This window comes from Homo sapiens, chromosome 21 (assembly GCF_000001405.40).
Source record: "Homo sapiens chromosome 21, GRCh38.p14 Primary Assembly".
Lineage (NCBI taxonomy): Eukaryota > Metazoa > Chordata > Mammalia > Primates > Hominidae > Homo > Homo sapiens.
In genome coordinates this window covers 34,722,767-34,746,771 of record NC_000021.9, presented here as the reverse complement: position 1 = coordinate 34,746,771, position 24,005 = coordinate 34,722,767, and the positions used below count along the sequence as shown (strand labels likewise).

The 24,005-nt window shown below is 46.4% G+C and overlaps 3 long non-coding RNA genes across 4 annotated transcripts in view, besides 3 other annotated features; 1 reads left to right on the top strand and 2 right to left on the bottom strand.

Annotated features, from left to right (window-relative positions):
• Positions 1-947, bottom strand: part of LINC01426 (long intergenic non-protein coding RNA 1426) — a 39,062-nt gene extending 38,115 nt beyond the window's left edge. For both annotated transcript variants that reach the window (NR_038885.1, NR_038886.1), the window contains exon 1: positions 756-947. This is a non-coding gene — a long non-coding RNA (long intergenic non-protein coding RNA 1426). The remainder of the gene's footprint in view (positions 1-755) is intronic.
• Positions 67-566: an enhancer, noted in NCBI's record as "H3K4me1 hESC enhancer chr21:36118503-36119002 (GRCh37/hg19 assembly coordinates)". NCBI's record gives its function as "activates a minimal SCP1, AML or CMV promoter by ChIP-STARR-seq in naive H9 embryonic stem cells {active_cell/tissue: H9 hESC(naive)}" and the evidence as "EXISTENCE:reporter gene assay evidence [ECO:0000049][PMID:30033119]".
• Positions 567-1,068: an enhancer, noted in NCBI's record as "H3K4me1 hESC enhancer chr21:36118001-36118502 (GRCh37/hg19 assembly coordinates)". NCBI's record gives its function as "activates a minimal SCP1, AML or CMV promoter by ChIP-STARR-seq in naive and primed H9 embryonic stem cells {active_cell/tissue: H9 hESC(naive and primed)}" and the evidence as "EXISTENCE:reporter gene assay evidence [ECO:0000049][PMID:30033119]".
• Positions 2,834-19,935, bottom strand: LOC107985515 (uncharacterized). The gene is made up of 3 exons (XR_001755016.1): positions 19,755-19,935; positions 9,285-9,346; positions 2,834-4,141 (listed from the first exon to the last, which is right to left on the bottom strand). It is a non-coding gene; the product is annotated as an uncharacterized LOC107985515 (long non-coding RNA).
• Positions 9,590-22,965, top strand: LINC00160 (long intergenic non-protein coding RNA 160). Its single transcript, NR_024351.2, has 6 exons — positions 9,590-9,662; positions 12,016-12,086; positions 12,731-12,811; positions 13,693-13,863; positions 22,576-22,726; positions 22,819-22,965. It is a non-coding gene; the product is annotated as a long intergenic non-protein coding RNA 160 (long non-coding RNA).
• Positions 22,705-23,482: an enhancer, noted in NCBI's record as "H3K4me1 hESC enhancer chr21:36095588-36096365 (GRCh37/hg19 assembly coordinates)". NCBI's record gives its function as "activates a minimal SCP1, AML or CMV promoter by ChIP-STARR-seq in primed H9 embryonic stem cells {active_cell/tissue: H9 hESC(primed)}" and the evidence as "EXISTENCE:reporter gene assay evidence [ECO:0000049][PMID:30033119]".

The following is a 24,005-nucleotide window of genomic DNA, read 5'->3' as shown; positions in this document are numbered from 1 at the left end:
TCATTATCTCCTGTATCTTTGTTCCACTTGTGCAGGTGATTTGTCCCCCCGCCAGTCCCCGTCCCCTCACCCCCAGTTTCATGGATAAGGACCAGCTGTAGACTCTGCCAGGCCCTGGGCAGTGTTGGTATCGTGCTTGGAGGTGCTGCTCAGTTATGCAACCCACCCTCCTCCCCCAGCCAGAGCCACAAAGCCACTAGGGCACTGTACCAGTTTGTTTATTTATTTATTTTTGAGATGGAGTCTCCCTCTGTCACCCAGGCTGGAGTACAGTGGCACGACCTTGGCTCACCACAACATCCGCCTCCCAGGTTCAAGCGATTCTCCTGCCTCAGCCTCCCGAGTAGCTGGGATTACAGGCGCATGATGTCACGCCTGGCTAATTTTTGTATTTTCAGTAGAGTCGGGGTTTTACCATGTTGGTCAGGCTGGTCTCAAACTCCTGACCTCAGGTGATCCACCTGCCTTGGCCTCCCAAAGTGCTGGGATTACAGGTGTGAGCCTCTGCTCCCAGCCCCACCGTGTTTAGCTTGGTTAGGCACAGAGCCTTGCATGAACCAGCACCTCGGGGACCCCATGACGAGGTCAGAGCGGGTGAGAGGCACGCACCAGTGTGACTGAGCCACTCGCTGGGACTCTGGGGGCAGCGTGGTGGGGCTTGAGATCAAGGAAGTGCCTGCAAGTGGATTCAACGATGAGACACTTCCCCGGCCCACAGGGTGGAGGGGTTGGCTGGAGGGGTTGCCTGTACTTACCAGAGACGGTCCCCGAGCGAGCTTGATAAGCTGAAAGAGACGCTCAGGAGAGCCCTGACAGAGCTCCCCAGGCTGGAAAGGACAGAACTCCCCACCGGAACTTTCATTTTCAAAGTTCAGCACCTCAGTTAAGTAATTAATAGGTCTGGTCACGTTCACAGCTCTCCAAAAGAGACTGATGGAGCTCTGCTTTTCCTCCGGAAGTGCTTTCATGGCAAGCCCAGAGAAGCCCCCTAGGAGGCAGCCTGTCATCCAATAATCACTTCCTCTCTCAGGCCCAAATTCCAAATCAGCTCAGCAATGGGCAGGGCGGCCCTGAGCCACGTCCAGAGGTTGGGATTTGCTGACTCCTGGAGGATATTCTGAGTATAGCAAGTAAGTGAACTCGCACAAACAATGCGTTCAGCAATGGGAAGAAAACAGCTGTTTTTGTCCGAGAAGTGTCTGGCATACCCAAGACTTCTTAAAGAGAGGAAAATATTAACCTAGAGCATAACAACCCCTTTCTCTTTTCAGTCAAAACCTAGACAGACTGTGTTGATATTAAGTTAACAAGTTCCATGGGCTAATACCTTCCGAATGAAATGAGAGGGTTCTTAAATTAATAGATGAAAACTCCCCTTCATACATCAGAGAACTAAGGAAAGGTAATTGCCCCCAATATTTATTTTCGATTTGGAAAATCCAAAGCAAGAAGGCTTTGAAGAAGTCAAGATCTGATTATAATTCTAGGCTCGGTGCCAATGGGATAAATTATCTGGCAACTTTTTTTGCACAGTTATTGATTCTATTTGTCTCTGACGCCAAGCGCCCAGCATGGCACAAAGCCTCACAAAGTGCTCCGAAAAGGGTGTCATCCCCACACCGTTGATAAGGCTCAGAGTCTCTCCACGGCCATAATGCAACCCCCTCCTCCCCAGGGGGCTGTTGGCACCTCAACCCACTAAGGGATCAGGAAGTAGAGTTTGCCAGTGAGGAGCCTGGAGACTTCAAGCCTGTTTGGCCTTGGTGTTCTTGTGATTTAGTGCCCTGGACTGGCAGGTCTAGGGACTTTTTGCTCTAGACAAACTTTTTAAATAGGCCAGGTGCAGTGGCTCAAACCTGTAATCCCAGTGCTCTGGGAGGCTGAGGTGGGAGGGTTGCTTGATCCCAGGAGTTTGAGGCTGCAGTCAGCCATAATCACACCACTGCAGCCCAGCCTGGGAGACAGAAGAAGACCTTGTTTCAAAAAAAATTTTTTTAATAAATATAAATTTAAAAAATAAAAAATCCCAACACATGCACACACATACATGCACACACATACATGCACACACACACATGCACACACATACATATATATGCATGTGCAAAAGGTATGCCCAAGCTATACTCTCTTTATTTGAGTTTTAATTTACAGAAGTTTTCAACCTGGCCAGGCCTGGAATCATGGAGAATGGGCTGGGAATGGGTCTGCAGAGGTTCCCAAGGACATGTTTGAAAAGCATCCTCCACCTGGGAGAGCTGGGTCAGAATTAGCACACTCTAGGAGAGTTGGGGAACAGCTAAGAGCGGGGCACACCAGCTCGACTAACTGAGCCTGAGCCAGTGGGAAAGTCCTCATAGCAGTGGTCACTGGAGCACGAAACAGGGACATGGCTGGCTGGGGCTCCTTCCTCCGCCCCTCCCCAAGCACAGGTGGGCATGCCGTGGTGGGGCTGGGAAAAGGCCTATGGCCAGGGAAGCGCAGGATGACAACAAAGGAATGGTCAAGGCCTAACAAACAGAAACAGCGATGCAAATTGCCTAGGAGATGGAGCGGCAGTCACTGGAGCTGGCGTTGCCCAGACTTTGGTTGGCTTCAGGGTGACAGTTCAAGAAGGCAGCTCCTCCTGTGGGCCAGTGAGCTTGCTCCAAGAGCAGCCCTTTCCAGCTGACGCCCAGAGTGACCCAAAGGCTCTCCCGGAAAGTCCGGTTCTAAGACGATACAGCTGCCCGTCATGGAGCAACCTGCCCAAAACCACAGGGGGAAAAAAATCCAATAACCAAATCCCGGTGACCACACCCTGTCTGCAGTTACTCAGAACTCACTGGCCAAGGTCCAGGGAGCAGACCGAGTCAGGCTGAAGTCTATCCACATTTAATTTTCAATTGAAAATGGAAACAAGTCAAGCCAAGACAAACCCAGGGCCTGATTTAACAGCATCTACTGCCATGGCAAAGACATTGTCATGTGGGGTGCCACAGATCAGCCACCACCACCCCAGGGAAAGGTTGACACCACCACATCCAGACACTTTTCACTCACCTTTCATATAGAAGCTCATCCACTGCATAGCAGCTCAATGGTATTGTTACTGTTATGTTCTTTTTACAGGTGAGAAAACTGAGGCACAGGTTAAGTGACTCACTAAGCTCTCACTGTAAATGGTGGGGCAGGTTTGAACCCATGTGTCTGGCTCTTTGGTTCTACATGCGTTAATTCTGATTATAGTGAACGTCTGAATGGCTAGAAATATTTGGAGATTGTGCCCGGATGACAGCTGCAGAGAAGTGACCGTGGCTGACCCTGGACAGCAGTGCTTGGTCTTGCTGGGAATCGTCAGGTCCTCTGCCAGGCTTTCCTGGGGAGCACCAGGTGAAGTATCATGGATTTGAGGTCCTCTGTACTGGAGGCAGGACGCAGACACCAAGAACACCTCCAGGCAGGTGCTGATTCGCCGGCGGAACATTTGCAATGTGCTCACCCCTGTTGTGGGTAGGGGATGTGGGAATATTTGCACTATTGGGTTATACAGGGCTCAGAGGGGAAGGCATCGTGGAAAAGGATTTGGCTTGAGGAAGGAACACAGGAGACATGGCCATGCCATAAGAAGGAAGATGCCTCCCTTTAGATCAGGATTTGACATCAGAAAAGAAGAGATCACTCCAGTGAAGGGCCAGGAGACCTGCCTCCCAGGGCAGAGAACTCCCCGCTCCAGCCCCTCCTGGGGGGACCCTCTCCAGCTGCAGACCCCATGGTGGGTGATCAGGGATGTGATACCTTAGATGGGTCCCACATCCCCTTCAGACGCTAATGGTGTTTGGCTTTAGCCGACAATGCTCCTCCAGGGTGTGGCCTCATTTCCAATGTCCAGCGTCCTGGAGTCTCGAGGTAGAACCTTGAGGACTACCCTTGTTGCCCAATCTCATGTTTCCCTCTAAGGGAAAGGCTCATGTCCCCACTGCCAGGCAGCCTCTGACACAGGGGACTCTTGTAAGCAAGTCAACACACAGCATGGATGTGTGGAGGGACTCAGAGGTCTCTTGGTTGTGTCCCCTGTATCGAATCCCGCTTGCACAAGGAACTTGACTTCTCTGAACATTTATTTCCTCCTCTAAAAGATGGCCACCATTAGGCTGGGCACCTATGTTAAGTAGAATTTTAAAAGATTGATTTAGTGAAATATATACAATAATAATAGGCTTGGCCCAGGGTTTGCAGGGAGAGCGCGAGCTTTGGGAGGATGCGACACATTTTTGGGTATTAGAAGATGACAGCAGGCAGAAGCAAGATACCCTAGAGGATAGGCCAGGAGGTCCCCTCTGAAGTCTGCCTGTCTGGAGACTTGCAAGGCAAGAAGCAGGTGAACGAGAAACAGGTGAAGGTGGAAACAGCTCTCCCCTCCTGGCGACTCCTCTCCTGGGGTAGCCGGTGCTCCTGGGTGTGTGTTGAGCCTACTGCGTAGAACTTGGTCTGATCAGATACAAAGGGAGAAGCAGGAGTGACAGGCACAGTGGAAAGCTGAGCACCCCACAGACCTGAATTTGTATCTTTGTTTAGATGCTCACCAGCCATGGACCTTCAGACAAATTCTGACTTCCCATCTGCAAAGTGGGGTCAAGAGTCCTTAGAATGTTTGAGTGAAGAACACAAGATAGAATGCATTAAATGCCTGGCACACAATCCATCCATTCATCCTTGGGTTTTCCCTCTTTTTTTCATACTTATTTCTATTTGTATTTTTTAGAAATAGTGTCTTGCTCTGTTGCCCGGCTGGAGTGCAGTGGCGAGATCATAGCTCAATGCAGCCTTGACCTCCTGGGCTCAAGCAATTCTCCCACCTCAGTGAGGGGGTCCATGTGTGTTCCAGCATGTGTGCATGTTTTGGAGGAGAACCTTTCAAGAGGTTAAGAGCCACTGCTCTGAAAACAACTTTTCCCTCAAAGACCACCACAGTCAGGCATGTAGTATGTCTTGGGGGTGGTCCCGGTATAGCAGTACCTGGGGGTACATGAGTGTGCAAAAGTGGTGGCATTTGTGGCGGCATGAGAACACACCAAGTTGGGCTAAACCTTACTTTTACAAGTAATATGCACCAGGCTCTTGTTACCAAGCACTTTTGGAGCACTATCTTCCTGTGTGCTAATATATCCAAACACTGGCCATCGCAGATATTTTTGTTAATAGATCTATTATGCAGGCGGAGGCCTTGACAATCAGAGATTTTGTGGCTAGTCCAAGATTGCTCAGCTGGTAGCCTGGTGGCCTGTTATGCAGAACCCCTGCCTTCAGGTGACACTTGGTCCCACAGGCTTGGTGAGGGGCCTCCAGTCTGAGCTACTCACTCAGTTGGTGGAGGTGACAGAAAGGAGTCCACGACAAGGATTCTACAGCTTCCCTGGCTGGAGGAACACCTGGTTTCCTCCAGGTCTCCCACTATTCTCTCTTGCTCTTCTCTTAGACCAGATACTGGTGTCAGTGTCTTATTTAAAAATTGCTCCTTTGAATAAACATTCTGGGTCCTTGGCCAGAAGGCAACAAGTGCAAACTTGGTAATGGCTCAGTGCCCACCATCCTCCTGAACTCCCCACACCACACAACAGAGTCCTTTCTATCCAAGCAGTAATCACAGAAGGAAATTGGTTTGCTCGAAGAGAGAAAAGGTCTCTGATGTGAAAGGCAATGGGAAAAACAGGACCATGAGATGAATCGATCTCTGGATGGCCTCAAAGCTAACGTGCTTGAGGGGAGCAGGATTGGGAATGGTAAGCTACCAGGACAATGTGGAGAAGGAAGAGAAGGGAGAAGGATGGAAAGTAGGGAGAAGCAGAAGTTTAAAAGTGGTTGCTCTCTGCTGGGAGAGCCTGCCAAGCTGGAAGCACAGATCCCCCAGACCCTGGACATTGGAGTTCCTTCCTCTGGGGAGCAATGGGCAGGCGTATGCTGCTGACCTTGTTCTCATGACCTGCATGCCCACAGCCAATGTGTTGTTGATGGAATCTGAAAGGCTGGCACTGGAAGATGCTTAGTGAACGGTGACATGGCCCATTTCAGAGACAAGATTGAATTGAGCCCTTTAAAGCAATGGAAGGGAATGCTGGACTGGGAGAGCCCCAGGAGGTAGAGACCACATCTTATTCATCTTTTTATTTTCAGGGTCTACCTCTGGTATGTAAATTGATGGATGGATGGATGGATGGACGATGGGGCAAATTGATGAGTGGATGGATGGATGGATGGATGGATGGATTTGTAGATGTGTGGGTGGATAGATGGATGGGTAGATAGGTGGGTGGATGGATAGATGGATTAATGGACAGGTAAATAGGTGGGTGGGTAAATGGGTGGATGGATGAATTATGTGGTAATTTGGTGTGTGGATGGATGGATGGTTGAATGGATGGATGGGTAGGTGGATGAATTATGTGGTTTGGTGGGTGGATGGATGGATGGATGGATGAGTGGGTAGATGGATGGAAGGTTAGATGGGTGGATGGAGGAATGGATGGATGGATAGATGGATGGCTGGTTGGATGAATGGACTGGTAGGTGAATGCATGAATGGATGGATTTTTTAAAAAGGAAGTCAAGGGTAGATTCACTTCTGATGTACTCTAGGCCTCTTTCCTCAAGTATCAAGTAAGGCAGGTCAATTTAATTATCTCTAAGACCACTCCATGCTTTGTCATTTCATATTTTTATGGTCTCATGATTCTAAGCTGCCCAGGACCCAGGGCTGATTTATGGGGCAAAAGAAGTAAGTGTCAAAGTATCTGTCACCACTTAGCACCAAGGAGGTAAGATTCCTTAAAAAAAAAAAATCAGATAGAGCAAAAGAGTACTGTCTTCTGAGACCGCAAAGAGGCTGATGGCACTTCTATTCATGCACCCAAAGGTTCTAGGGCCTGAAGTGGCCCCCCACCCTCTCTAGCCCCCCTGTGAAGAAAGATGCTGGTTTGGGGCAGCACAACACCTGCAGAGATGCTAACGCTGTTCTCCTGCCCTCACATAAAAAATGCCAGTCCCAGTCAACAAGGAAAGATCCTGACACTTTTATCAGCATTAGAAGCAGTTCCCCAAAGGTTGATGCTCAGTGAAGCCCCAGGATCCATGATCTCAGAGGTACTTACAGAAATTTTCACCAAGTGGAGCAAACATAATTTTAAAATAAATAAATAACATGTCATTATACCCTAAAATGATTTCTAGGTAATCCTTAAACACAGCCTTTAAACTATATATTTAGCAAAAAGGAGATGGAACTAAAATGGTTTGAGTGCTGTGTAGTTTGGGTCTTCCAGAAACAGATACCAAGATGGGATTAGACACCTGAGGGATTTCTTGGGAGACACGGTCTGGAAGGGGCCAAGAAGGTGGGAGAACCCTCAAGCTATGGTGCAGGTCTGGCCCTGTGAAGGTCAGAGGGAAGGAGGAGGAGGAAAGGAAGGAAGCTTGTCTAGACACTGCAGCACAGCTCCAAGAAAGTTCTAGCAAGGCTCAGGGAGAGTCCTTGAGCCACAACTGTCTGTCAGAGAAATCCCACATCTCTCTGGAATGGGCCTGTCTTCGCATCCCTGTAGGGCCCAGTCACCACCTGGGAGCAGCTGTGGTAAGTGTGACCTCCAAGCAAACCCACTAGTGGATCCAAAGGACCAGTAGATGGGCTCATCCTCCACCCGGGAAGCACACTTTCACAGCTGCCATGAGTACTCTGTATGGGGCCAGAGACTTCCTAAATGTCTCCTTCAATCCTCACCTATTGCTGTTGCACATTGGTATTACTAGCCCATTTTGCAGATGAAGAAACTACATTTCAGAAAAGTTAAAGTACTCAGGGATTGTAAATGACCAAGCCAGGACTTAACTCTCTATAACTGGCTCCCAAGGCCCTGCTCATCACATCCCAGTCTCCCTGGTCACCAGAGCCCTGTACTGAGAAGAGGAGTCTGGGGTTAGCTTTTGAGAGATGGCAGAGTGAGGTCAGAGTGTTGAATGTAGGGAGCAAGAAGCAGAGGAAATGAAGAGAAATGCTCTCTGGGTTAGAGGATGGAGGTGACACATTGACCAGCAGATGCGGGCAGCTCAAGCATCCCCACCTCACAGCCGTCTTGGGTGAAGCCTCTTGCCCTCTCCTGATTCAATACTTAAATAAGGACCATCCAGGCATCGTGAGAACCATGGCAGGGAGAGGTGCTCATATGTGGTTCCTGGGATGAGAAGGAACGCAAGCTCTAAATCTGTGCTGTTTGCAAACTAGAGAAGGCGGCTGGCCTTCTGAGGATAGCCTTTTTCCTGGGCTACAGCCTGCCCGAGGGCCAAATTTCCTTCCCTGGTCTTGCAATGATGGATGGAAGGACACTGTGCACTCAGTTGTCCCTCCATGATGATCAGATGGTAAACACGGCTGCTGAGCAGTGTGGTCTTGCTCTCCCTGCTCTCACCAGCCTATGCTCGCAAAGGCAGAGAATTGCTCTTTAGATTTAGGGGAAGTGGGAAAGGCAGGAAGAAGGAAGAGCTGTTCGCTTCCTCCATCCATGCAGAGAGAGATGTTCACATGGAGGCCATGACATCAAATTGTGAATGCCACACATTTTCAGGGGATTAATTGACCTCAATTTAGGAGCAATAAGATTCTTCAGACTGAAGCAACTTGAAAGGCACTTTTACAGGTACCTGTAGAAATTTTTAATGGAACAATCAATGAGCTGTGATTCTTGCCACATTTGCTGTCACACTGCCTCCAAGGATTAAACCTTGGGGTGACCAGCCACCCCCGCAACTCTAATGAGATGGGAAAGAGCCAAAAAAGAGACCTTTCAACCCAAGCCCTGCTCTGCATCACAGGCAGCTTTTATCTCCATAATTAGAGGGCTCGTCATGCTTTTAAATAAACTACTGGAGCCCAGGCTGGGCACTCAGAGGGGAGCTGACTGTGGGGAGTCAACAGTGGGGAGTGTGGAGGAGTGGGATCTCACAGCCTGTCCCTGGGACGGTGGGAAGTGAGGTATCCTGGGAAACAGAGGCCTTCCACAGAAGCTTCTTTCCAGATAGGGAAAGGTGTGTGGACTTCGGCAAGTCACTGATTTTGTGGACATTACGGGAAATTACTGCATTTTTCATTTATCCTTAAATGTAAACAAGTAACATGGAGGTTCCAGATGCATTTTTTTTTTCCTTTTAGGAGACAAAACCAGAACTCTTTAAATCCTCTTTCTTAAACATAGGAATAGATATTCAAATTCGATTACACTGAGATTGGGAGAAAAATGCAGAGTTGGGTAACTCACTCTTTGGTGGAGGCTGTGGGACTCTTGTGTACCGCCAGTGAGCATGTGAATTGGCACAACCCCTGCAGAAAGAAACAGAGTGATCATTAACAAAACTACAAATCCACATGCCCTCTGACCCAGTCATTCATCTTCTGGGAATTTGTGCTGCCGAGACACTTTTAAGATGACATGTGTGTGAGATAATTCATGGCAGCTTTGCTGGTGATGGCAAATACTTGGAAACAAACCTAGATGTCCATCAAGAAAGGATTAGTTAAATAAAGCATGCTAGATTCAAACAACTACTATGCGGCTTTAAAAAGGAATGAGGAAGCTCTCTGTGTACTGATGGGGACAGAAGTTCCAGGACATTTTGTAAGGTGGCTGAAAAACAAGGTACAGAATATTGTGTATAGGATGTTACCTTTCATGTAATAAAAGGGGGAGATAAGAGTGTGTGTCATATTTGTTTGTATTGGGATACACATATTCTAGAATACATATGCCTCCACAAACAAAGAAGTCATCTGTGGGAAGGGAGCCCAGGCCGATGGGGGAGAAGTAAAAGAAAGGAAACCCTTTTAGACTTTTAGATTTTGAAGCAATGTGAATGTCTAGCATGTTGAAAATTTTCAATGAACAAACTGATCTGCCTTAGATGAAAATATCCAGAATAGGCAAATCTCTAAAGACAAAATGCAGATGAGTGGTTGCCAGAGTCCAGGAGGAGGGAGGAATGGAGAGGGACTGTTTATTGGGTACAGAGTTTCCTTTAGGGGTGATGAAAATGTTGTGGAAGTAGGCAGTGGTGAAGGTTGCACAACATTGTGCATGGACTAAATGTCAATAATGGTAAATTTTATGCATGTATATTTTACCACAATAAAAGGTAAAAGCCTATTTGTCATAATGGCTACATTTCAAATTCCATAGGAGGATTTCACTGGAGCTTCATTGTTAATTCAAGAATTCTCCCTTCTGTCTCTAAAGCAAACTCGGAGACATTTAGAGTTCAGACAGGATCCACTAAAGGGTATTTCCGAAGTTCTGCTCATTTCAGAAAGCTGGAGTGCAAATCTGCATTCCAGGCATAAACTATGAGCTCTTGAAAAACATGGGCTCACGGGAACCCCTATTTCCCTGAATTCATCAAAAGCTAGAAGCCAATGAGTGCACGGCAGTAGGGGTGGGATGGGGCCAAGGGAATTAGTCAGTGGCTTCCTGAGATGCCAGATGCTGGAAAAAACAAGGATGTGAAGCCATGGTATGTCCCCGGGGCACTGACCCACCGGGTGCAGGGACTGTTGAAGAGACAGAGGAAAATGTGACTTCCACAGAGCAGAGAAGCAACTAGGTAACCAAACACACAGACCCAAAGACAAGACATCTTTATTTTCAGGGATGCTGGTGTCCATCTGTCAGAGCCCTGAGCAGGTCCAAGTCTGCATCACCATGCCTGGCACTCCACAAAGTTCCATGTCAAACTGCTGGTTAATTGAGTTACCAGGTTACCTGGGCAGACAGATGATTACGTATCATCAACTAAGCACTAATGGGTTAGGAACATAATCAACCCATTCGAGTTGGGAAAAGGAAGTCAGAGCAGAAAATTCCGAGGTTGAGCCTATGTTCATGACCTCCCAGTAAAAATTCGATTTCTGGATATGGCTGTTGGGGAGGTTAGTTTATAGAACAAAACTTTTCAACATATTATCTCATTCATTCCTCAAAATTAACCTATGAGTAAAGGCTTCTGTGTTATTGATTAGGCAACCAATATTCTAGGATTTAAAAGTGGCTTCCCCAACTTGCTCAGCCTGTCAATTACCAGACGTTAGCTTGAAATCCTTATCTTTCTCCAACATACTATTCCATCTTCCACCATGATTCTGAATGGTGTGTGTGTGTGCACATGTGTATGTATGATCCAGTCTTCATCGCTTATTTGCTGCATGGCTTCGAAGATATTATTTGTCCTCTCTGTGATTCAGTTTACTCACCTGTAAGTGGAGACAACAATAATGCCTCCTTCGTAGGAGGATAATTGTGGGCATGACACAGAGAATGAATTTGAAGCAGACATAGAGGGCCTGTGACCACAGTAAATCAATGCTAGCTGGGATTATTTCAAAAATAATGCATAGTTGTAACTGCAGTAAGTTCTCTCTTATCCAGCATGGTTGAAAACAAAGTTTCCTGATTAAGAAAAAATGCTGATAACTATATTTGTCACATATATCACAAGTGCTTATGTTTCAGAAATTTAAACATAATAAAATATGCTGGAGTTGGATGCTCGATAGATGCTTTTCTTGGACAATCTAGAAGGCCTTTGGGCATCTGGTGGCACCTTATAATGAATACCAATTTAATTTCCATGCAACTATACAGGTCTATAAAATGATACAGGCAGTGGAAATGGGTCACAGAGAATTTACGGTTACAATGTGAAAACGTCAACCCAACGCCATGGTCTACTTCGTGCTTGGAAGCAAAGCCTGGCCTGGATGCGGTATGCACTCATGACTCAACCTTCTGTTGTCACTTGCTGTTTTTGGATTCTTCCAAGTTCAGAGTCAACACAAAACTCTTCCTTTAAAAGAACAGCTTGGCCCCAGGAGGCTGCTGAGTGACATGTCAAGCTGTCCTGAGAGCACACTTGTTTCCCAACCACCTGAGTCATGACAAATTGCTTGAGGCTTGTACCAGAGTAAAGTCTGAAAATAGTTCTTCTCGCCCTCCCTACCAGACAGATGCTTCCAGAATCAATCACCGAATGGTGGATCTACAGCCAACCACCCATTCTCTTCAGTCACTGAGGCAAGTACCTTAGGGGTCCTCATAATTTAGGGAGAAATTCAGTCTCATAACTTCTCATAAATCTCCTAAGAGAGCACAAGGCCTCTCCTCCAACCTGGTCAATCTCCTTATTCTTTCTACAACTCACTAGGCCCATTTCTACCACCTGGTTGCTAATTCTCTTCTCCTATTGATATTCCCAACCTCATCTCTATAGGCCAAAGCATTAGCAAACTCATATCGCCCGTGGTGTCTGCATCATTCCAAAATTCCGTCATATTTTGCCTTACTTCTCAGTATCAAAGCCTCCTTGGTCTATGTTGTGACTCCTATGAGCTCCTTGAAGGAAGGATCTTTGTTCAATATGTCCTTCTGATCCATATGGTGCCTAATATGGGAATGGGCATTCAAGATTAAGTGTAGAAATGAATAAAAGAATCAAGTGTGATAGAGATCATTGGTAAGCACTCAACTCTTCTACAAATGATGAAAAATACTGAACTGTCCCACAAAAGGTTTAATTTAGCACGGCACAGAACACTGTTTCTCAAACCGTAGCAAGTATTTGAATTCCCTAGAGGGCTGGTTAAAGCAGAGATTGCAGAGCTTCTGACTCAGTAGGTCTGGATGGGGCTTGATAATTTGCATTTCTAATGCTTTCCCAGATGATATGATGCTGCTGGTCCAAGGACTACATTTCGAGAACCCCAACCACGCATGGATTGTTGTCAACTATGAATCACAAGGTTTGAATACTAGTTCCAGCATTGCTGTATGTGGCCAAGGGACCTAGGGCAAGTAATTTAAGCTCTCTGGGCTTCTTCAGCTGAAATTTGTCTTGTATAATTGCTAATGTTGCCTTTATCTCCAAAGTTATCTGAGCAGAAAAGGTCTAAAGTACCCTTCCTTGTGTCATCTGCAGTGCTATCATCTTCATGAAATCTTAGGCAGCAAAGGCACCAGTCAGAACAGCAACCACTTTTCAAATCTTGAACTCACAGAGATCAGCCCCAAGTGATGGGCCAGGAAAGAGCTCAGTAAAAGAGGAGAAAACTGAGGCCAGGACTCAGGAAACTCACAGGGGCAGGAGATCCCCTTGAAGGAGGCCAGACCAGATTCTAGTATGGACTCAGAGCCTGATCTAAGTTGAGATGCTGTCCCTGTGCAGCAAGTCCTGAAGGAGTTTTTTAGGAAGCTAAAGTTGCGGGCTCCACAGAACCCAGTGTTGGCTCCATGGCCAATGCCCCAAGAGAGATGATCCTGGGACCAGATATAGAAAACGGGTCCTTCTCCTGTCTCTAGAATAGATCAAAAAATTGTACCTTTGTTTTTCTCTTTGGCATCTCCAAGGATGCGTTTCACTCAAGAATGTAATCTTCACCCATGACTGAGTATATGAAGAGGTATCCGTCCTCGGACATACTCAAGTGGGGAGAATTACCAGGACTGGTTCCATATCCTCAAAAGGAAAGGGCAAATATGGAATATTGACATACAGAGATGACAAGCCAGCCCCCATGGTTGTCTTTAGGAGACGATAATGTAAAAATTAGGGCCTTGGCATTCTTGACACTGACACCCAATGTATTTCATGTAAGACCCATTCTTAACTTTTGTGTTGAGCCAGATTTCCAGGGTTTTGTCTGCTGCCTTCCCTGCAAGCCCTGCCATCCACTGAGACCCAACCTCAGCCATTCTTGGCACATCAGCCCATGAGAAGTCTGCCACTCTTTCTTCCTAAGCAAAGCAGCATCCTTCAGGGCCTGGAGCTCCTGGACACAAAAGCCATTTTTGGGAGGTAAGTAGTGTAGCTCTCAACTAGTGGGTTAAAAGGAGGGTTGATGTTCTTTGGTCTTAAACATTTTCTCTTAGTCACGCCCATCTCTATTCTGGTTCTTAAAAAAGTTTCTCAATTAATTTAGAAAGTTAGTGACTAACCAGATAACCATCAACATAATGAACACGTGTGTTACACCTTGCATTCCTATGTGTTCTCTCATGTAATCCCAGCTGCTTTGTAATATTAGGTTGGCGCAAAAGGAATTGCTGGTTTTGCCATCTCTTTTCATGGCGAAAACTGAAATTCCTTTTGCACCAACCTAATACTTGCTTTCTCTAAAGATTTATGGTCATTTTTAACAGTGACTCACAATCTAGATGATACAATGGGGAACAGCTAAAAGCACAGAAGGCAGAAATATGACTTATGCCTTTCAAGGCCCTTCCCATGCGTTTTCAACTAGAGGAAGTCAATCAGACTAGATGTTGATAAGGGTCCCCTTATCCACATCTTGGCTTGTGCTTGGCTATGGCTTCAGAAGCAACCTAGATTCAAAGAGAACCTCCTTCCAGGCTCCCAGGTCGAGGGGCTCTTCCTGAGGAGGTTTTTCAGGGACAAACGGTATCTGGGACAGAGCTAGGCAGTTAACATTAAAAGTATTTTGGAGTGAGATAGCACCCCTTGACACTGTTGCTTAGACAAGGTCAAGATAATTTTTCTTCCATTTCCTCTTGCAATCTCAAAAAGACAGGTGTGATTCTTGTTGGCATTGAGGAGAAAAAGTGGCCTATTCAAGGCCTCCTCCACAACAGACTGACTTGATTCTTCCACTCAGCTCTCTGCCCATAAGGCTGCTCTGCCTCCTGAAGCCTCTTTCTTCATCCTTCAAGGAGTTGTCCAAATGCAAATTCTCCTCCTATTGATGGCTCTGCATTGGTGTCAATTGCTTCTGATGGAAACACTTATTGTATACAAAAACCTAGCCCCAAACCAGGAGAAAACATAATCTTTGCTTGTATCTAGTATTTCCAATTTTTATGCACTTTCCCATTCATTCTCATAACAGTTCCAAGAGCTGGGTAGAAAAGGTGTTTTCCAGGTGAGTAAGTTGAGATTCAGCAAAATCAAACAATTTGCCCAAGGCCACGCAATGTTTTGCCCAGTCATTTTGAGTCCCAGTTCAGGAGGTAGGAGAAAGAAAGATGGGGAATAAGACTGGTAAGATTGGTCTTAAAGAAACATCTACAACTGTTTGGTAGCCTCAATACCCACACTAACCATACTTATATGCCTCACCCAAATAAGGTGAGCCAAACTCTGAAAGCATTTGAAAAAGGAAAAATGCTTTATCCCTGAATAACCCTTTCTATTGTTTTAAAAGTTCTGGAAAACAGTGAACACTGTAGGATTACTGCTTGTGGATAATCATCCAAATTGATCCAAAATGTTCTTCATTGACTCCTGAGTCAACTCAAGTCAATGTCAATGGAAACCAACATTCACCATCGCACCAAAGCTCATCTCTACCAGGTTAAAGCAGCCATTGTGTGCCCATCTCCCTGCCAAGCCCTACTGATTGCTCTGTTTATTAAATCTCTACTGGCTTCTGTTTTGCATTTTTATATTCTGCCCAACAAAGGATATGCTGTTCTTCACTAAGATCCCTTGATTAAAAATCCAAGACTGAGTCATCTTGCCACTCTCACCAATGCTAAACCCTGTTCCTGGATTCTCATCCACTTCAACTTCCTCCTCCATTCCCCTTATGAAGAGGGGATCTGAAATCCGTATGTTTCATATTGTCAAACACATATGCACATGTATAAACGGTATATCCTGAAGGCCTGAGGATGGGGAGAGGGAAAGTGGGCAGCTGGGACCTGCCATTCTCCTGATATTACATGGTGCCACAAAAATGAGCTTCAGGCATTAGCGAATAATCAGACTCTGAGTTCTAGATCCAAACTTTTACACAGCATGGGAGAGAGCCAGGACTGGCCAGACTCCATTGAGCAAACAGAGAAGGCTCTTGTGATCTCGGGATTTAAGGATTAGATTTCCTGGGGTGGGAAATCACCATTGCACTATCAAGCCCATCAGGAAAACACCTCAGGGGCTTCACCAAAACAGGGAAGCCTAGTATTCCAGGTGCAAAAGGCCCCTGCCTTGGCATTGCGAACATGGTGGTCCCTGAGGGTAGCGTTTCAAATTTTGCCTGTGAGTGCCACTGCGTTTCAAAAGCTTCTCCTCTTTAAAAATGGAAATGAATTGTCAGACTTCTCAGAAATACCGAGTAGAAGCTCTTTCACAGAAAATCAACATCATTGATATCACTCTGATAGGTGATCTAACCAGTTCTCTGGCTGCCGGACAGGGCCAACCTAGGACATCTCCGAGAGAGGAGATGTTTCCTTTATCAAGATCTCCTGAGAGGAAACGTCGTTCCCCCTCATTTCAGCCATTTCGGTGTCTAGTAATTATTCCTACCCGGAAATGTCTTACAGAGCCAAGTCAAATCTCACCTATACTCGTGGAGAACATTTCTTGGATCTGGTCCTCAGGACAAGGTGGGAACATGTTATTCTGTGAAGATCACATTCACAGGGAGGCCCAGAAAATGTTCTTATTAATACAGATAGGAATCATTTTATCTGTGAAGACATATTGTGGTTGAAACCATATATTCATTTCTCACCAAGGAAACTGCTTTTATTGCATTCAACTTTAATAATGAGATAGCTACTGAGAACAAAGTCAGAATGCCTTGGTTGTTTTTATCTCTCTCAAAACAAAATAAAAATGTTATTTTGTTCCCAGAACATAAAAACTCAAGAACCAGAATGGTAAATAGTATTTTTTAAATTTTAATTTAATTTTTTAAGACATAATGGCATTGCATTATTTAATATCTGTCCCCAGGAGATGATTTTCTGGTGAAAATTAGCAAACCAACCCAAACTTGAGAGCTGGTCACCTGCCATCTCTTCCTGCTGTGAGATGTTCATGACTTATTTGGAAGTGGCTCTTATGAAAGTTGTAAAGTCATGACATAGCTACACAGGCTGTGTGGAGAATTGTGTGTCATATAGAATCAAGGCATTTTACTGCTAAAAAAAAGAACTCTGGAGACAACGTGTAGGCCAGATTTCTCATTGTGCACTAAGAAGTCTGAGGTCTGGGGACTAGGTCTCTGGCCACGTAGTGTCTGCTCTGACATGTTTCATTTTACAAGGAGGCCTCTCTTGGTTCTTGTGTCCACACAAACCCAGAGTGACATTTTTACCTCCACTCTCCAACTCAGCGTTCTTATTTTGACAGCGATTTTCATGTCCTCGTAATTTAAAATCCATAGGCTTGGCCAGTCGTAGTGGCTCACACCTGTAATCTCAGCACTTTGGGAGGCCAAGGTGGGTGGATCACTTGAGGACAGGAGTTTGAAACCAGTCTGGCCAACATGGTGAAACCCTATCTCTACTAAAAATATAAAAATTAACTGGGCATGATGGTGCACACTTGTAATGCCAGCTACTCAGGAGGCTGAGGCAGGAGAATCGCTTGAACCTGGGAAGCAGAGGTTGAGTGAGCTGAGAGTGCGCCACTGCACTCCAGGCTGGGTGACAGAGCAAGACTCCATCTCAAAAAATAAAAAGCAAACAAACAAACAAAAATCCGTAGGCTTATGACTCTGAAGTGTCTTGCAACACAAGTAAGAGAAACCCAGTCCATTATCCCCACAACTCTTGTCACTTGAAAAACTATGCTTGGTTTGATGCATCATCCAAGAGTATCCATGGCCAAAGGATGGACAATAAAAGATGCATCAAGACATGAAACCACCAAACAGGCATTGATGAATAACACGGGATGAAACTCACAGAGAATCAGGACAAGTTGGTGTCTGTTTTGTTTTTCTAAACTCCACGTAACTCCTCCCAGACTATTTGTTTCTTTCTAAAGATAATCTTTCTTACAGCAGCAGGGACTGTGACCTTTATTATTCCTATTATTATTCTGAATGTGACCCACTGGCTGGGGACTGAATGCAGGGAAGACCAAGGGGGAGAAATCTGTTTACCTTGTACCCAAGACACTTGGCCACCTGCACAACATGAAGCAAAATTATAACAAAGCATTTCATTGACCAACTGCAAAAGAGCCCTTCCTTCTTCTCCACCCTCTCTCCCCACCCTCTGGCAAAAGCTGAGTAAATAGGTACATTTGGTGCCAGGACTAGCAGGTCAACAAACTCCTGCTTTGTCAGAGGGACCTGGGACTCAAGTCAAGAGGACTTCGCGGAAATGCCATACTTCCCGCTCCACAGGTGTTTGAGCCTAAGGATTAGAAGTAAAAGTGTCTCAAGGAAACTTGCCAAGAAGATATGCAGCAGACACCTGATGCTAGGGTATGGCCTGGGACCCCCTGAAAAAGTGAGGTTTTACTATCCCAGCTGATCTCAACCCTGGCTTGTGTATTGATGAGGGCGACTTCCCCTGGAAGGGTTATCACAGATCCCCAGACTCATCTCTAGCAGGATAATTTGAAGATGACCCCAAGATTCCTGGGCCTTGGTGTTCATGCCCTGTGTAACTCTCCCACCCTCGAGGGTGGGTAGGACCTATGAATACGATGGAATACCACTCCTCTGATTAGCCTGCATTATAGGGCAAAGGGGAAGGGATTTTGCATATGTAACTGAAGTTCCTTATCAGTTGACTGTTTTGGGACATTATCCCCTATCAGCCTGATTTCATCGGTTGACTTTAAGTTAATCAGAGTGGAGACTACCTATCCTGGGAGGGGCTGACCTAATCATGTGAGCCTTTTGAAAGAAGGTCTAGAGGTCAGAAACGGAGAAAGTCGGAAAGATTTGAGGCAGCAGAGACATTCTCCCATTGGCCTTGAAGAAGCAAACTGCCATGTTATGGAGAAGGCTGTGTGGCAAGCGAGTGGTCTCTCAGAGCTGAGACCCTCAGTCCCACAAATGCAAAGAGCAGAATTCCATCAGCAACCAGTGAGCTTGGAAGCAGACTTCGAATCTCACTCACATCAGAATCACAACCCTGGGCTGACCTCGAGTTTAGCCAGTGACACCCGAAGCAAAAGTCCCAGCTACTCCTCGCCTAGATTCCTGACTCAAGGAAGCTGTGGGATGATAAATACAAGTTGTGTTAAGCCACTAAGTTTGTGGTTACATGACAGAAAACTAATGCGACATCCTAGGAACTGCAGAGAGGAAACGTACCCACATTTTCTCCATATCCATGTTTTCTAGACCCACTTTTCCCCTCAAGGTGAATCCTCAAAGTCAAGGCTTGTTTTATATACAGGCCTGATGAATTGCTGCATGGATGAGAGGCAGGTGGTGGGGGTCCTGGGAAAGGCTCATAAGATCTCTGGCTGTTGGGGTCATCAAAGGTCTGGTTGATCATGTAGAATGTGTTCTAGGAAAAGAAGCTCATTAGATCTTGTAGGTGATTAATCCTTTGATGTTAGACAATCGAATGATTAGACATTGCTAATTTAGACACAGACTACATTAATGTCCTAAATTTAGGAGTAGCTGTACCAGAAAGCAACATGTCTACCAAAAATCCCTAAAGCAAGTGGCTAGCAATGTCTGAACTCAGAATCAGACCTGGGGCATGAGCTGCAAGGAGCATGATGCATTCCTATGCCTGGGGGACTATTCTCATATGTTATTACTGATGCTAAACCTGTCTCTCTCTGGCTTAGCGTTTAGAACTTAACAGCTGGAAACTGCATAGCAGATTATGTCATCTAGTTCCTGCACTTAACAAATGAGGAACTGAGGTCCAGAGACATTAGCTGCTTTTCCCAGAGCCACACAGCCAGAAGTGACAGAGGCAAGACCAAAACTCAAGTCTTTCAGCTACTTCCCATCTGCTCACCTTTCCTGTAGCACAAAATGAGCCAATGGTTGCCTGTAGGGTAAATCACCAATGCTCTCCAACAGGGCATCCATTTCGGGTCTTGCTTCAGTCTGAACCCAGCTGTCCTTGCTGTGCCTGGAAACAGGACACAGCTCTCCTGACAGCCCAGCTTTCCTCTCATGTTAGCTGTGCTATCAGCTCTAGCATCTTTCATTGCTAAGCAATGACGAGGTGATTCAGCTGTCTTGAGACCCAAACCTTACCGAGTGGCTTAGTTTCCTGTGGCTGCAGTAACAAAATACCACAGACTGGGTGGATGAAAACAACAGAAGCGTATTATTCTCTCACTGTTCTGGAGGCCAGGAGTCTCAAATCCAGGTGTCAGCAGGGCTGTGCTCCCTTCAAAGGCTGGAAGGAAGAATCTTTCCTTGCCTCTCCCAGCTTCTGCCGGTTGGTGACCATCCTCGCCCTTCCTTGGCTGTGGCTGCATCACTCCAGCCTCTTCCTCTGTTCTCACATGGCCTTCTCCTCTGTGTGTGTCTGTGTGTCTTCTCTTCTTTTGAGGACATGCGTCACATAGGGCTTAGTGCCCACCTTAATCTAGCATGAGCTCATCCAAACTTACCAGTTACCTTGGCAGAGACCCTTTTTCCAAATAAGATCACATTCAGAGTCTTTGGGTAGACACGAATTTTGAGGGGACTCTGTATAATCCAGTACACTGGGTTTTATATGTGCGCCCAGAGCTAATCTCAACCAACTTCCCCAAGAGTAGAAATACTTGGTAGGTGCAGCCTTCTCTATCACTTCTGTTCGTCGCCCAGTCCCACCAGATGCTGTTTTAACCCATCCCCCAGACATTAGACAGAGCTAGAAATCACTTTACAGAGCATCCAGCCAATGGCTGTTAATCCTGCTCCCCCTGAGAATCACCTGGGGAGAGTTTAACAACACCAATGTCCAAGCCCAGAGATTCTCATTCAGCTGGTCTGAAGTGTGTCATAGGCATTAGTAGTTTTTACAGCCACACCGATGATTCTCATATGGAGCCAGGAATGAAAACCCACCAATTGCTGGGTGCGGTGGCTCACACCTGTAATCCCAGCACTTTGGGAGGCTGAGGCAGGCAGATCACCTGAGGTCAGTAGTTTAAGACCAGCTTGGGCAACATGGTGAAACCTCGTCTCTACTAAAAATACAAAAAAAAAATTAGCTGGGCGTGGTGGCAGACACCTGTAATCCCAGCTACTCAGGAGGCTGAGGCAGGATAATTGCTTGAACCTGGGAGGTGGAGGTTGCAGTGAGCCGAGATGGCACCATTGCACTCCAGCCTGGGCAAAAGAGCCAGACTCCATCCCAAAAAAAAAAAAAAAAAAAAGAGAGAGACAAAAAACAAAAAAAAAATCTAGCCCAAGTTTTTAGTTTTCAGATGAAAGATTCCAGGCAGACGAGCCTTCAGCCATCACTCTTCCCTCCGTCTACTGCCATCAGTAAGCCTTTAAGCCACCAATTCTCCAACTGAAACGTTCTGCCCCCTCTAGATGGGGCAAGGCCCCCAAAGTTGGCAGAACAGAGTCCTTGTGGTGCCCCACACCCTTTACTCATGAGGGAGAAGCAAATAAGACCCCTGCATGACTACTAGGCAAGACCTGCATGACCACCAGGCAAGCGAGGTGGCTGCCGTCACAACCTCCTCATCAGTGAGTGACACACACTCATGACCTCTGGAACGACACAGTGCTTGTGTAGGCTTTGCACACTGTAAACTGCTCTGCAAATGTATATCATCACTCTCATTACTTTATTTGTGGTAGCAGCCCCTCAGCCTCGGCAACTTTGCAAAAGTTCTTAAGTGTATACTTCGCCCACTTATTCATTTGGTTTCCACGATACTTGTTCTTGGGTCTCTTTCTGGCCACTATTCTATTTTCTCATTGGAATTGCACATTTTTTAAAAGCAAGAGCATTTTTGTTGCCTTCTTTTTAATCTTTATGCATTCCAGTACTGTACTCGAAACAACAAATTCTTTCCCTTGCCCAAGCTGGTGAAAATGTGCCAAAGTATGCAGCAGAAAGGTCTGCCCAGCGCCTGAACTACCATCAAAAGACCCAAAGTTTTTCTTGTGAACAATACTGTCTTTTGGGACCAGTAAGTCATTTATGAGCTGAAAAACAACAACAACAAAAACAAAAACAAGCCATTGAAAGATACCAATGGAGGCAAAGCAAGTCCTACCACTCAGCACTGTCCAAGAACTCCAGGCACCTTCCTATCTCATTTTCTCTCTTTCTTGGCTCCAAATGTGGGAGATCCCAAGATCATGAGAAGGAATCATGTGACCAGAAACAGGCCTCTGCAGCTCAGTCAGTGACACATATAAAAATGAAGAGGCAAAGAACCTTAGGAAAATAACTTGTGTTTTTTCTTTTATCTTAGTTCAGTCCACATTTTGGGGAAAATGTATCCAAATGATAAGTATATACTACTCTATACATTTTAAATGATTTAACACATGAAATGACAAGAAAGGGCTGGCTGGAGTCCGGGAAGAGTGTCCAGGCAGGTCTGGGGGCCACTGGCCTCCCCCTATTCACAAATCTCATCACAAAGCAAATTGCAGCTTCCCAGAAGGTCTATGGGGCTTACACACCTGTGGCCTGTGCCACAATCTCCTCTGCCGTTGCCATGGAGTCTCTCTCCTCCCATTTCCTCCCTTCCTTCCTCCCTATCTCTTCCTTACCCCTTCCCCACCCCTTCTCCACACCCCTTTAAGTCCTGTTCCTGGAAACCTCAAGGTCAATCTCTTTTTTAGATTTGGTGGTTTGTTTTTCTGAGCAGAAAAATGTGGATAAAGTCACTCCTGGGCCACCTGTCTGTGAGGCTGTATGGAAGCTGCCTACTGGTTTGAGGAGAGGCTGCTGGGTTCTTTCCTTTACTAAGGATTTGCTTAAGTCAGCCCTCCAGGATCCAAAAAAGAGCCAGAAAAAAGGTAGGCTTTGGTGACAGAGGAGCTGAGCACTGCATTGTGATAAAAGTCACAAACATATCACAGTAAAATCATCACTTTTTTCTTCTTCTCAGCCAGCAAAACAGCTGAGGCACAGACTAGATGGTAGTCCAAGGACCAAGACCTGGCCAGCCAGAGGGACCAGGTGTCCAGACCCCGGACTGTTTTCAATACAGTTATACAATGAAATCAAATAAATGGATGTATTGATTGCTTGGCAATTAATGGGGGAACAATTAATTTGGCCATAGGATAGGGGCTCATCCCCATGGACGCTTGAGTGTCCAGCAGTGATCTCTGTGCTCCCACCAGCAGCGGAACCCCACTTCCTTACCCTCTGACCCCACCATGTGCAGCGCCCCCATCCCTCAGGGTCAGGCGAGGAGCCATAGAGGAAGTTTGGGGGACACAGCCATGGGGTGCAGCGGGGAGACTGCCTTCTCCCACTGACCACCTGCACAGGCTGCCCTGGGCCTTCTGGGGCAGGAGCTATGAGGACAGGTGGGCCCAGGGAGGTGTGCTGGCCCCAAGAGCCAGGGCTAGCAAGGAAAGGAAGCAGGAGTCTCGGACCTCAGGATCCAGAACCTTGCCCCTTCCATCAGCTCCTTACCCATCTCTGAGCCATGGGCTCCTGGGTTTGGAGAGGGAAGGTTTCAGAGTGGTCAGAGAGTTCTCTCCAACTTCTGAAGTACATGAGGTGGTGCCCAGCTACTCCCCCAACACTGTCTGTTTTCACAAAAAGAAAATGGGTGAGAGGTACCAAGAGCAAGTTGTCTTCGAGTTAGGCGTGACAAGGGCCTTCTTGTCCTTGAAGGTATTTCCATGGCAAAACAGAAAGCCACAGGACAGAGGGGAGCTCCTCCTCCTCCTGCAGACACTCCTTAGCACATCAGAAAACACAGCCTGGGTGTGGCCGTCCTGGAAGCTGGGGCTGAGACCAGCAGGGTCATTTCACGCTTGGCTTCTCTGGCCCGGAAAGGCCACCCTTTGATGCGTGGGCCACCCTGGGCTGACACCCAGAGGGCTGGGCTAGGTTTGGATGAAGTCCCAAGGCTGTGTGGGCATCAGTCCATGGGGGTCAACCCAATAGTACCTGTCAAGGTAAAGCCCACCTGGCTACAGGGAATGGGAGGAAGCGCCACCTAGTGGTGAGGATGAGAGCCTGGCCTGGGTGGGAGGAGGGCTTTGACATTAGGGAGACCACCCACATTGATTGATCTGCTTTTCCACTCCTGAGAGCCTCAAGTAAATATCACACAAC